Source organism: Homo sapiens, chromosome 10 (genome assembly GCF_000001405.40).
Source record: "Homo sapiens chromosome 10, GRCh38.p14 Primary Assembly".
Lineage (NCBI taxonomy): Eukaryota > Metazoa > Chordata > Mammalia > Primates > Hominidae > Homo > Homo sapiens.
The window spans coordinates 59,615,730-59,628,070 of NC_000010.11; the positions used below are offsets into that span (position 1 = coordinate 59,615,730).

Genomic DNA, 12,341 nt, shown 5'->3' on the forward strand with positions numbered 1-12,341 from the left:
GCTTGAACCCGGGAGGCAGAGGTTGCAGTGAGCTGAGATCATGCCACTGCACTCCAGCCTGGGTGACAGAACGAGACTCCGTCTCAAAAAAAAAATTTTTTTTAAAGTGACTGTGTTGCCATATACACTATTCTAGAGGTATCAGTTGGTGGCCTGTTAGGAATCAGGCTGTACAACAGGAGATGAGCGGCAGGCAAGTGAGCAAAGCTTCATCCTCATTTATGGTTGCTCCCCATCACTTGCATTACTACCTGAACTCTACCTCCTATCAGATCAGTGGCATTGGATCCTCATAGAAGCCTGAACCCTGTTGTGAACTGCACATGTGAGGGAGCTAGGCTGCACACTCCTCATGAGAATCTAATGCCTGATAATCTGTCATTGTTTCCCCTGTGCCTCCGAGATGGGACCATCTAGTTGTAGGAAAACAAGCTCAGGACTCCCACTGATTCTACATGGAGAGTCGTATAATTACTTCATTCTATATTGCAATGTAAAAATGATAGAAATAAAGTACACAATGAATGTAATGTGCTTGAATCATCTGGAAACCATCCCTCCTCCCCCGGTCTGAGGAAAATTGTCTTCCACTAAAACTGGCCCCTGGTGCCAGAAAGGTTGGGGACTGCTGCGGTATTCCATGGCCACCTAAATATTTCATGTATATCGCGGGATAGTCGTCCCCAGGGCTCAGCTGTAAAATCTAATACATGAGCTCCCCAGCCTTCTCTTGGCAGAGAATGCACTTTTAAAAACATACACCTTATTTTTAAGGCTGGGCGCTGTGGCTCATATCTGTAATCCCAACATTTTGGGAGGCCGAGGCAGGCAGATCACTTGAGATCAGGAGTTCAAGACCAGCCTGGCCAACATAGTGAAACCCCGTCTCTACTGAAAATACAAAAACTAGCTGGGCGTGGTGGCATGCACCTATAATCCCAGCTACTTGGGAGGCTGAGGCAGGAGAATCACTTGAACCCAGGAGGCGGAAGTTGCAGTGAGCCTAAATCGCACCACTGCACTCCAGCCTGGGTGACAGAGTGAGACTCTGTCTAAAATAAATAAATAAATAAACAAAAATTAAATAAATGAAAATCAAAAACATACACTTTTAGAATAGATTTTACTTCTAGATTTACCCAAAAAAATGAGAAGATAATACAAAGAGTTCCTCTATGCCCATCCCACACAGTTTCAATTAACATCTTACATTATAGCCTATCTGTTACAATTAATGAGCTAATGTCGATAAATTATTAAAGTCAAAAGTGCAGTAAGGCTGGCATGGTGGCTCACACCTGTAATCCTAGCACTCTGAGAGGCCAAGGCAGGCGGATTGCTTGAGCTCAGGAGTTTGAGACCAGCCTGAGCAACATGGCAAAATTCTGTCTCTACAAAAAATACAAAACTTAGCTAGGCATGGTGGTGCACTCCTGGAGTCCCAGCTACTTGGGAGGCTGAGGTGGGAGAATCACTTGAGCCCAGGAGTTCGAGGGTGCAATGAGCCAAGATTGTGCCACTGAACTCCCAAAGTGAGACCCTGTCTCAAAAAAAAAAAAAAAAAAAAAAAAAGAATCAATAGTACAATACATTCAAGACTTCCTGATGCCCTATTTCTCTTCCAGGATCTCATCTAGAATCTCACATTACCTTTAGTGGTCATGTCCCCTTAGGGTCTTCTTGGCTGTGACAGTTTTTTAGTCTTTCCTTATTGTTAATGATCTGGACAGTTTTGGGGAATCTTGATCAGATATATTGTAGGATGCCCTCACTATTGGGATTTGTCTGATGTTTTTCTCATGATTAGACTAGAGTTACAGGTTTTAGGGGAGGAAGATCACATAGATAAGTGAAACTTTCATCACATCACATTAAAGGCACATACTATTGATATGACTGTTAATGTTTACCTTGGTCAATTGGCTAAAGTAATATTTGTCAGATTTCTCCACTGTAAAGCTACTCTTCTTTTCCCCTCTCCCTTTCAATACTGTGCTCTTCAGAAGGAAGTCACTATGCACAGTCCACATTTAAGGAGTGGGAGTTATGTGCCACCTCTCCTAAGGCAATTTTACCTACATACATTTGCCTACATAAATTTTTTTGAATTCTTCCACATAGGAGATTTGTCTCTTCTTCCCCATTTATTAACTTATTCAATCATTCACTCTAATCAATATGGGCTTGTGGATATTTTTCTTACACTTTGGGTTATAATAGGATGTACTTTTACAAAGATATAAAATATTAAAATACAGTGTTCCAGAAAAACCACAAGAGCTATGATCCAAGCCCTGCCTGTGCTGCTGAAATAATCGATGTCATTTATTGGGACAATCTGTTTCCATGTCCAGCTCTGTCCCTCTGGGGATAGTTCTCCTGCTATGAAAAATAAAAAAGATTAAAAGTTAAATGCTGAGCCCAGTCTTTCTCATTCCAGCCATACCTGACTTGTGGCTTCTGTCTGCAATACTCATTTAAGAAATACTTGCAAAATGATCAGTCCATGAAACAGTGAGTCCCTAAATCTCTTAAAAGTGCTATTTGCTGTCCAATAAGGCAGTAAAGAACATTTTCCCTAGGATGTACTGTGGTTCAGACAGAAGCCCTGATTTTGCATAGAGCTCTTTCTCTTTTATTTCTTCACACACAACAATTGGAAAATTGACTTTCCCAGGAAAAAGGAGGGAGGCACATTTTTGTGCCTGTAATTGAACGTCAATGTTGAACTAAGAATCTCTCACATGACATAATAAAATTCATATCAAAGCATATTTAGATTTTTAGTTTATTGTTTAAAAAAACAAAGGTCTTTTGAACCCAAGGGAGGCATTCCCAACAAAGCACTCCTCTAAGAGAAGGTCAAGCATCGTGGGCAGGAATAGCACTGTTTTTCTGTATTCCTTCAGTACCCACGTACAATAGATGATAAATAAATACATGTGAGTTAATTAACTAATTGGAAGAACCCAGGCTCCTGCATCAGGAGGCCCACGTACCTGTCCATGACCTGGCTGTCTGTGCTGGAATCACTTTGTGATTCTGTGGCTCAGATTTTTTTTAGCAGGGGTAGGAGAGGCTGTTCATTCCAACTATCAAAAAGCAAAAACACTGCACATACTTTGTACTGGAAATTCTTAGGCTTCAAAATACGTTCCAGGAAACCGACTGAGAAAATGTCACTGCTGGGTGAAAGTAGCCAGATTGATTATAATTGTGTGACAGTCACGGAAAATAGTTACACCACCATTGCTAGAAACTTCCACAATTGCTCCTGAGATGAAAAGGGGCAGTGACAATAAAGAATAAAGCTGTTCCTCATAGCCATTTTTCTAGACCAAGCCAGATTTCAGCAAGATTAAGAATTAAACAATTTGTGTTTTTCTATTTTCTCCCCGCTTTTTATGTAATTTTTACCTTTTAAAATAAACTCTTATTACAGGAACAAAACACATGTAGTGTAGAAAATAATGAAGTAGAAGTAAGTATAGCTTTAAAAATAAAAACATCACATTTCTGCCTTGCAGAGAACACCATTGTTAACAGCTTACTGCCTGTCATTCTGTGTTGTTTTCTATGTATACGTGTACATATTATTTGTGTTTAACTGAAATGAGGTCATATACTATTTTATTGCCTATTTTTTTCAGTCATTGATCTCTATTATTTTAACTAATATCCAGACAATATTCAGATTTTCTAATTGACCCCCAAATGCCTTTTAGCTGGTTTTTTTCAAACCAATATCCCACTTAGGACAATGAGGGCATTGCACTTTTTCATTTTTCCTTTTTAGTCTGTTTTAATCTAGTTCATTCACCCAGACTTGTGAAATAGATAGTTTCAATGATCCTGGAGAACGTTCCTTCTTCGGGGTTTGGATTTGTCCTTGCTGCTGTCTTACAGTGTTGTTTAGCCATTCCTGTTCAGTCTAAAGGCTCAATGGGCTTAAGCAACATCACATCAGAAGACACATCATATCTTAGCACAAGTTGATGATGCGGAGCCTGGCCCCTGGATCAATGTGATGATGGTCTAATATCATGTTGTACTTTTACTTTGTGCAAGTTTTCCCCCTGCATCTGAGCATGTATCTGTGTGGTATAACTTTGCCACTATAGAAATGTTCCATTCTCCTTCAGCTAGCCACCTAATGATTTTTTTTTCTTTTTTTTGAGATGGAGTCTTCACTCTGTTGCCCTGGCTGGTTTGCAGTGGCCCGATCTCGGCTCACTGCAACCTCTGCCTCCCAGATTCAAGCGTTTCTCCTGCCTCAGCCTCCTGAGGATTACAGGTGCAGGCCACCATGCCCAGCTAATTTTTGTATTTTTAGTAAAGACAGGTCTTACCATGTCGGCCATGGCTGGTCTCGAACTCCTGACCTCAGATGACCCACCCACCTCGGCCTCCCAAAGTGCTGGGATTGCAATGAGCCACCGCACCTGGCCCACCTAATGATTTTTAACACAAATTGATCATGCATGCCCAGAGGAATACTCTCACTATGATTTCCAAAACCATATTTTCCTTTTTCTTCCCTTTTTTGCATATTAAAATTATCTATCTCCCTTTGAGCATCCCAACTGTTTCCAGCCACTTGTGGATTCTCAAGTTACCATATCAATGGTCTCTTGAGCCTTCCAGCTAGGATGGACACATATGAATGTATAAGCTTCCACATTGTTAGCATGAGGGAGTTAACTCTGCTCACATCTTCATGAACTATCACCCCAGTGCCTCCCTGTTTTGTAAAGACGCTACTTGAAATGTCATTCATATGTAAGGGCAACTGAGATAGGGGCATTAACTTCCTAAGTGGGATCATGATTTGGATTTTGGAAATACACATGCTTTTGTAGTGTTTTGCACATATTAATAGAAAGCATTCAAAAACTGGTCTTTTTTTTCCTTGTATGTTTTATTGTTCCCCACTCTCTGTTCCCCATCACTGCTTCACCTTCATGTTGCCATGAGATCTAGTAGGAAGGGGCTGACCCTATCTAAGTCAAGATCACTTGCTCCTATCATTTGTTCTGTTTGGCCTTCATAACCAAAGAACACATGACTATTGGAGCAACAGCTTCCTGAAATTCTTGAACTATGGATGCTGGAAATGAAAGAACATGCTTTGATTGACTTTGTCTTGTGTATCAGGCATTCTGTTAAGAACATAATTCTGAAACACCAATTTATGGGTAAAGAAAACTGAGGACAGAGATATTAAGATTCTTGCCCCATGCTTCAGACATTTAGTTGTCTATTGGCTACATTACCCCACTCCTCCCCTGCCGGCAAAGTTCACCTCTCACTCTAGAGACTAAATACGTCACAGCTAGGGCATAAGCATGTGACTCATTCAGGCCATAGTATGCAAGAACAAATCTTCAAGGGGCTTCTGAGATATGCTTCTCTTCCTCATAAAAAGGAGTGTATAAGAAACTACCTCTCCTCACTTTTTTTCCTTTTGCTTTTCATTGTGATTGTGTGAGACAGTGATGCTTGGTGCTATGGCAGCCATCTTGTTACCATAGGACAATATGTTTGATGACAAAAGCCAGCATACCGACGATGGCAGAGCAGAAAGATAGAACTTGAATACTTGCTGGCATCAATTGAAACAGAACTTGAGTATCTGATGGCATCAACTACTAGCCTCAGAATTGCCCTGAGTTCCACCTTGCTTTTACATGAGATAGTAAATATCATCCAAACATCCTAACTAACACACCTAGGAAATCAAGGAGTAAGGGTGTGAGTCCCACTGTGTTTCCTATGAAAACAGGAGTTTCAATTTCCTAGTTCTCCTTGTTTGTTTCTAGATTGTAGAATATTCAAAGGAGATTCAAAGAGACTGATGCCCCTGCCACGTTCTACCCAGCTGCCCCCAAATATGTGGCCTGATGCTTAGCTCTTCACTTATCATTGAACTAGGTCTTATTTTACAATGGTTTGGTCTGTGACTTACTGGCTGATGTTGGCCCCAAGTCCACCCCTCCATCAAGACTTGAACATGTCCTTAAGATCCAGCTCTGGGAAAGGCATCTCAAGCACTAAACCTCCTCTTCTGCCTGCAAGGGTCAATGTAAGAGCCTGGACCTAATTGCTGCCTGGTAGTCCAAGTTAAATAAAAAGTAAATGCTAGGCAAATACTCTGTCTTCAGAGCATGCTGCCTGTGTGGCAACATTTCTGCTAATAGACTCCAGCCATCAGCCATCTGTCCATCTTGATATACTGTGCATTGCAGATGAGAAGGAATGTTCCTTTCCCCTGCAGTATTGCATGTTGATATTTTCCTTCAGGGAAATACCTGAATTTCATATCACTCACCTCATTAAAATTTACCTTGCATAGAACTAATGTAATATGTACTTTTTTTTTTCTTTTGAGACAGAGTCTCACTCTGTTGCCAGACTGGAGTGAAGTGGCACAACCTCCGCCTTCTGGGTTCAAGCGATTCTCCTGCCTCAGCCTCCCGAGTAGCTGGGACTACAGGTATGCACCACCACGCCCAGCTAATTTTTGTATTTTTAGTAGAGACAGGGTTTCACCATATTGGTCAGGATGGTCTCCATCTCTTGACGTCGTGATGCACCTTGGCCTCCCAAAGTGCTTGGATTACAGGCATGAGCCACCGCGCCCAGCCAATATGTACTTTTATAATAAAAATAAAGTCACAAATAAAAGCTTAAATTGCTTCCTTAGCGGAATTATACTTTTAAGGCCTGCCATTGCCTTAACTGGAAGGAGAGATTCACACAGAACTACAGGTGCTTACGCCACCTAGTGGGAAGAAATTTTTATTTCGGAGGGTTTTTCTATGCCACTTACATCCCTTGTGCACACAGGCCCGCGCGCGCGCACACACACACACAGTCACCAGGTGTGATGGCAGCCCACGAGCCTTATCAAAAAGGTGAATGTTGGGGCCAAGAGCAGACAGGACTTCACTGTGTTGCCTCTGATCCAGGAGGCTGCATAGGCAGAAGCTGTGTCTGTTTTTACTTAATATCTGAAATTGCCGGTACACTCTGACTCTGGGAGGAAGGGGGAAGCTACAATACAGAAAACCATTAACTTTGGGGACTGAAGGAGGGGACGTAAGTTGTTTGACCCTGCTAGTTATAATCATTGTTCTTTGCCTTTATTGGAATAAGTAAATATAATCCTGTAGGTAAATGTGCATTTCTTGACATCTTGGATCTCCATTCTGCGTCAGGGGACCCCCAGCTCACTTGTCAGATGAGGAACGGTGAGTAAGGCTGAGCTCAGCCAAAAGTCATGAAATCAGAGAAACTTGTCCCCAGAACCCTGCAGTCTACCGCTTTTGGCTCTCCTTTCTCCTCTCAGTTCTAAGCCTACTGTTAAATTAAGGTTAGCCTAAAGCTGCCTCCTTACATATTTTAAGTTTGGCCTAAAGCTTTCCCCATAAATAGTAAACTGTAACCCAACTGGGTGTGTAAACAGATTGAAACCTACTCTAATACCAATCACCAAGTTTCAGCCACTCACAGGCCAGCTGTTCAAACTGTGTTCAAATAAGGCAAACGCCAAGCTGTAATCAATCTGGCTGTTTCTGTACCTCATTTCCATTTTCTGTACATACGTTTCCTCTTTCTGTCTGTAAATCATCTCGACCATGCAGCAGCATGGAGACTTTCTGAACTTGTTCTTGTTCAGGGACAACCCAATTCACAAATCGTTCTTTGCTATCTACCCAGGCAAGTCTCTTGCACACTGACCATTTTCTCCCCAGTAGTCACTATTCAAACATCCCCTCAGCTAAACCTTGGGGAAATGTCCACAACGATGGGATGAGAGCTTCGTGTGTTATTCTTCCGAAGTCTTCTCATGGGCCCAGAGCACAATGCCTTATCCCAGAAATGAAGACTGCATCGTGAAATCTCAAAACGGGAGGAGAGAGAAGGATGATTGGATCATGGCTATCCAGCTGTTCCTCAGAATGTTTGTTTGGCCTATACTGAACGCAGCGAAAACATTAATGTTACCAGAAAAGGAGCCCGATCCAGACCCCAAGAGAGGGTTCTTGGATCTCATGCAAGAAAGAATTTGGGTTGAGTCCATAAAGTGAAAGCAAGTTTATTAAGAAAGTAAAGGAATAAAAGAATGGCTTCTCCATAGCCAGAGCAGCCCCAAGGGATGTTGGTTGGCTGCTTTTATGGTTATTTCGTGATCACATGCTAAACAAGGGGTGGATTATTCATGAGTTTTCCAGAAAAAAAAGCAGGTACTTCCTGGAACTGTGGGTTCCTCCCCGTTTTACGCCCTATTGGGTAGCTTCCGGATGTTGCCATGGCATTTGTAAACTGTCATGGTGCTGGTGGGAGTGGCTTTTAGCATGCTAATGTATTAAAGTTAGCATATAATGAGCAGTGAGGATGAACAGAAGTCACTTTCATTACCCAAAAGTGGGGTTTGCCTGGCTTCTTTACTGCATCCTATTTTATCAGTAAGGTCTTTGTGACCTGTATCTTGTGATACCCATCCTGCTGACCACCTAGCTCATCCTGTGACTAAGAATGCCTAACTTCCTGAGAATGCAGCCCAGCAGGTCCCAGCCTCATTTTACCCAACCCTTATTCCAAACGGAGTCACTCAGGTTCAAATGCCTCTGATATTAACACTCCAAATAATGCCATAGAAGTGTTAGCTATTATCATCATCACCATCACCGTCATCATCAGGGCCAGGGATAGAGTCAGGCATGTGAGGCGCTCACTTTCAGAGTCAATTTTCATCCCCACCTGCCTTACCCTCTTTCCAGCACTGACTGTCATCATCAATGAAGAGTTAGTAGCTCCCAGGCCCTGTTATAAGGCTGTTATATATTATTAATTCATTTAATGAGAAGAGGAAACAGCCACAGAAATCTCACCAATAGACATTCTGCCCAAGTTACACAGTGAAAGAAGGGTAAACCTTGGATTTTAACTGGTTTAACAATAGTTACACAGGTCTTACACAGGTCTCTTAAGTTTCTGACACTTGGAGACTCAGGGACTCAAGATATTGATTTTATTCATCACTCTGAGTACAAGCACCTCTTGGCAAAAATCTGATGACATATTTTAAGTAGGAAATTGCAAGATAAAGTAGTCAATTGTTAACGGTGGTAAGTTAGTCAACTGTTGGTGGGAGTGTAAATTAGTTCAACCACTGTGGAAAGCAGTATGGTGATTCCTCAAAGAGCTAAAAGCAGAACTGCCACTCGACCCAGCAATCCCATTACCGGGTATATACCCAGAGGAATATAAAGCATTCTGCCATAAAGACACATGCACGCGAATGTTCGCCGCAGCACTATTCACAATAACAAAGACATGGAATCAACCTAAATGTTCATCAGTGACAGACAAGAAAACGTGGTTCATATACACTGTGGAATATTATGCAGCCATGAAAAATGAGATCATGTCTTTTGTGGGAACAGGATAGAGCTGGAGGCTATCATCCTTAGCAAGCAGGAATAGAAAACCAAATACCGTGTGTTCTCACATATGGGTGGGAGGTAAATAAGAAGAACTCATGAACACAAAGAAGGAAACAACAGACACTGGGGTGTTATTGAGTGGGGAGGGAGGGAGAGGAGCAGAAAAGGGAACTATTGGGTACTGAGCTTAGTACCAGGGTGATGTATTAATATGTACAACAAACCACCGTGACACACGTGTTTATCTACGTAACAAACTTTCGCAGGTACCCCATACCTAAAATAAAAATTAAAAAAAAAAAAAGAATCTGCCAGTGACCACAAGCAAATCAAACAGCCTCTCCATACCAGTAAGCAAATTGCAAACTCACACACCTTTGGCGCAGGAACAAATGATAAGGGAATTAAGGAGTACAGGTGTAGAATAACAGGGAAGTGCATAAAGTTACTCACAGTAAAAATTACTGGGACACGGATCTTGGCAAAACCTCTGTACAATCTGTCCGTTTTCTAACACTATATTCAACCAATGCTGGCCAAAGCAACATGTCTGTTGATAAAATTCAGCTGCAGATGGGGTTGTGGATCCAATGAAGTGAGCACGGTTTCCAGGAGGTATTATCAATGGCCAGGAGCTAATTCCTAACTTGGAGCAGCTGAAAACAATCACTCCCCATTTTACAGTAACAGCACACAGAGATGCCAAGTTCTCTGGCTGAGCCGAGTCATCTGTGGAAAGTAGACACAATTCAATCTAAATAATAGAGAACAGCGGCAGCCTGGATTGATGTTTCTGCATGACTCTCTGCTTAGTTCAAATTGGAGCCATTACCTCGTTGGATTTCTCAGCAGGCGGTTTAGCCTATAGGAGACATTCCCTATCCAGTAACAAATCTCATTTCTTCTCAGGCTGAAGGAGATAACAAAAGCCAGATGGCCCTTCAAGACTGTTCATGATGCTCAATGAGCCCAAGATGGATGCGGCCCATTTCTAGACTTTTTTCAGCTGAACCACAAGGTGGTGCCAAAGTACAGAAAATGCTGCTTCAGCCTGCAGGTGTCACCAACTGTGAGGAAGGCAAAAGGAAAGAAAAGACCATTATCTCACTTCGCTGAATAAAAAAGAAAATGCAAGTCTAGGAGGGCCTAACAAGGCCTCAGCACACAGCAAATCCCCACTTATCCTTAGTAAATTCGGGTGCCTGAGTTTCAGGAGGCTGCAGGTAAATTGAGTCTAAAAATTCAAAGGAGCTTAAAAGAGCAATTAAGCCTTTGGTTTGGTAATGAAGGCAGCACTAAGCCATAGGCCAGATAATTAGTGTAATGGAGCTCAGTGCTGAAAGAGCTACTGTGTCTCATTGTAAATTCTGCACCTGTTAAGGGCTGCGTGGGTTTACAGGTGGGCTAATCAAAGAAGAAAACCACAGACAGATCCTGCAGAAAATTCCAGGCAACTGGAAGGTCACCTCCCCCAAAATCCAGGGAGCACAGAGGGCTGCTTTTCTCACAATCCTTCCTACTAGACCTGTGTTGTGCAATACGGTAACCACAGGTGGCAGGCTCTAAACTGAAAATACACACTGGATTTCAGCAACAACAAAAAGAGTGAAATCGCTCATTAATCAGTTGGATATTAGTTACATGTTGAGATAACATTTTGGACCTACTGAGTAAGACAAATGCCAAATTTAATTTCCCTTGTTTCTTTTTACTTTTATTCTTTGTCTCCTAAGTATGTTTCATTACATAGATATTGCTCTCATTATATTTCCATGGGATATTGCTTCTCAAAGAGCATATCATTGGTAAAATATGGAAATACTTCCACACCAATGGGATGCTTACACTGCCCTGGGCCTCAGCCCCTTACTATGTCCCACTGCCTCGGCTGCTCAATCCCTCAGAGCCGTGCAGCGCCTGCCACCCAGCCAGCTTGACGGAGGCCCCTCATTCCCTCACATCCATCCCACCACTCCCAGGATGGGCCTGGACCCAAAAGAGAATGCCCTATTCCCATCTGGCATGTCTTAGTCACACTGCCCTGGCTGTGGGTAAGAAACAGCCTTTGCAGTGACTCTAACAATTGTTAAATATTTGGTATTTGTTGTTGTTGCTTTTTTTGAGACAGGGTCTAACTCACTCTGTCACCCAGGCTGGAGCGAGTGCAGTGGTGCTATTTCCACCCCCCAGGCTCAAGCAATCCTCCCACCTCAGCCTCCTGAGTATCTGGGACTACAGGCATGAGCCACCACGCCCAGCTAATTTTTGTAATTTTTGTAGAGACGAGGTTTCACCATGTTGCCCAGGCTGATCTCAAACTCCTGGGCTCTAGCAATCCTCCCACGTCAGCCTCCCTGTGCTGTGGGATTACAGGCATGAGCCACCGCACCTGGCCAGTTGTCAACTATTTCAAATATCACTCACACCTATGAAGTTTGCACTTATCTCTGCCATGACATTTCTCAACTTGTATCCTAATTGTATATTGGTCTCCTCAGGAAGCATATGAGCTCATGGGTGGCAGGACAAACCTTGACCAGCCTTATTCCCCCTGCTTCCAGTCCTGTTAAGCACTTATACATGTGTGTACTGTGCATATGTACTTTGTGTATTTGTTGGTTGAAGATGAGTAATAGAAAGACACCAATGCAGGGTCAAGAGGCCACACAGCATCCTTTGATCCTGGGGCTCTACAGACCATGTTGCCTCTCACATTCAACAAGGAGACTGACTTCTCCAAAAAGATACTGAGATCAATTTTTCCCTTGGGGTTAGGCTATTTGGGAAGAACAGAGAGCAGGAAATCTATGAAGGGTTTACACAGTGAAGAAAGATAGAATCTGACAGGGTGCGGTTGCTCACGCCTGTAATCCTAACACTGGGAGGCTGAGG

At 42.5% G+C, this 12,341-nt stretch overlaps 2 annotated features.

The window, feature by feature from the left end:
- Positions 6,642 to 6,936: an enhancer, noted in NCBI's record as "tiled region #11473; K562 Activating DNase unmatched - State 12:CtcfO". NCBI's record gives its function as "activates a minimal TATA promoter and a strong SV40 promoter by Sharpr-MPRA in K562 cells {active_cell/tissue: K562}" and the evidence as "EXISTENCE:reporter gene assay evidence [ECO:0000049][PMID:27701403]".
- Positions 10,549 to 10,768: an enhancer, noted in NCBI's record as "active region_3386". NCBI's record gives its function as "activates an Ori minimal core promoter by ATAC-STARR-seq in GM12878 lymphoblastoid cells {active_cell/tissue: GM12878}" and the evidence as "EXISTENCE:reporter gene assay evidence [ECO:0000049][PMID:35858748]".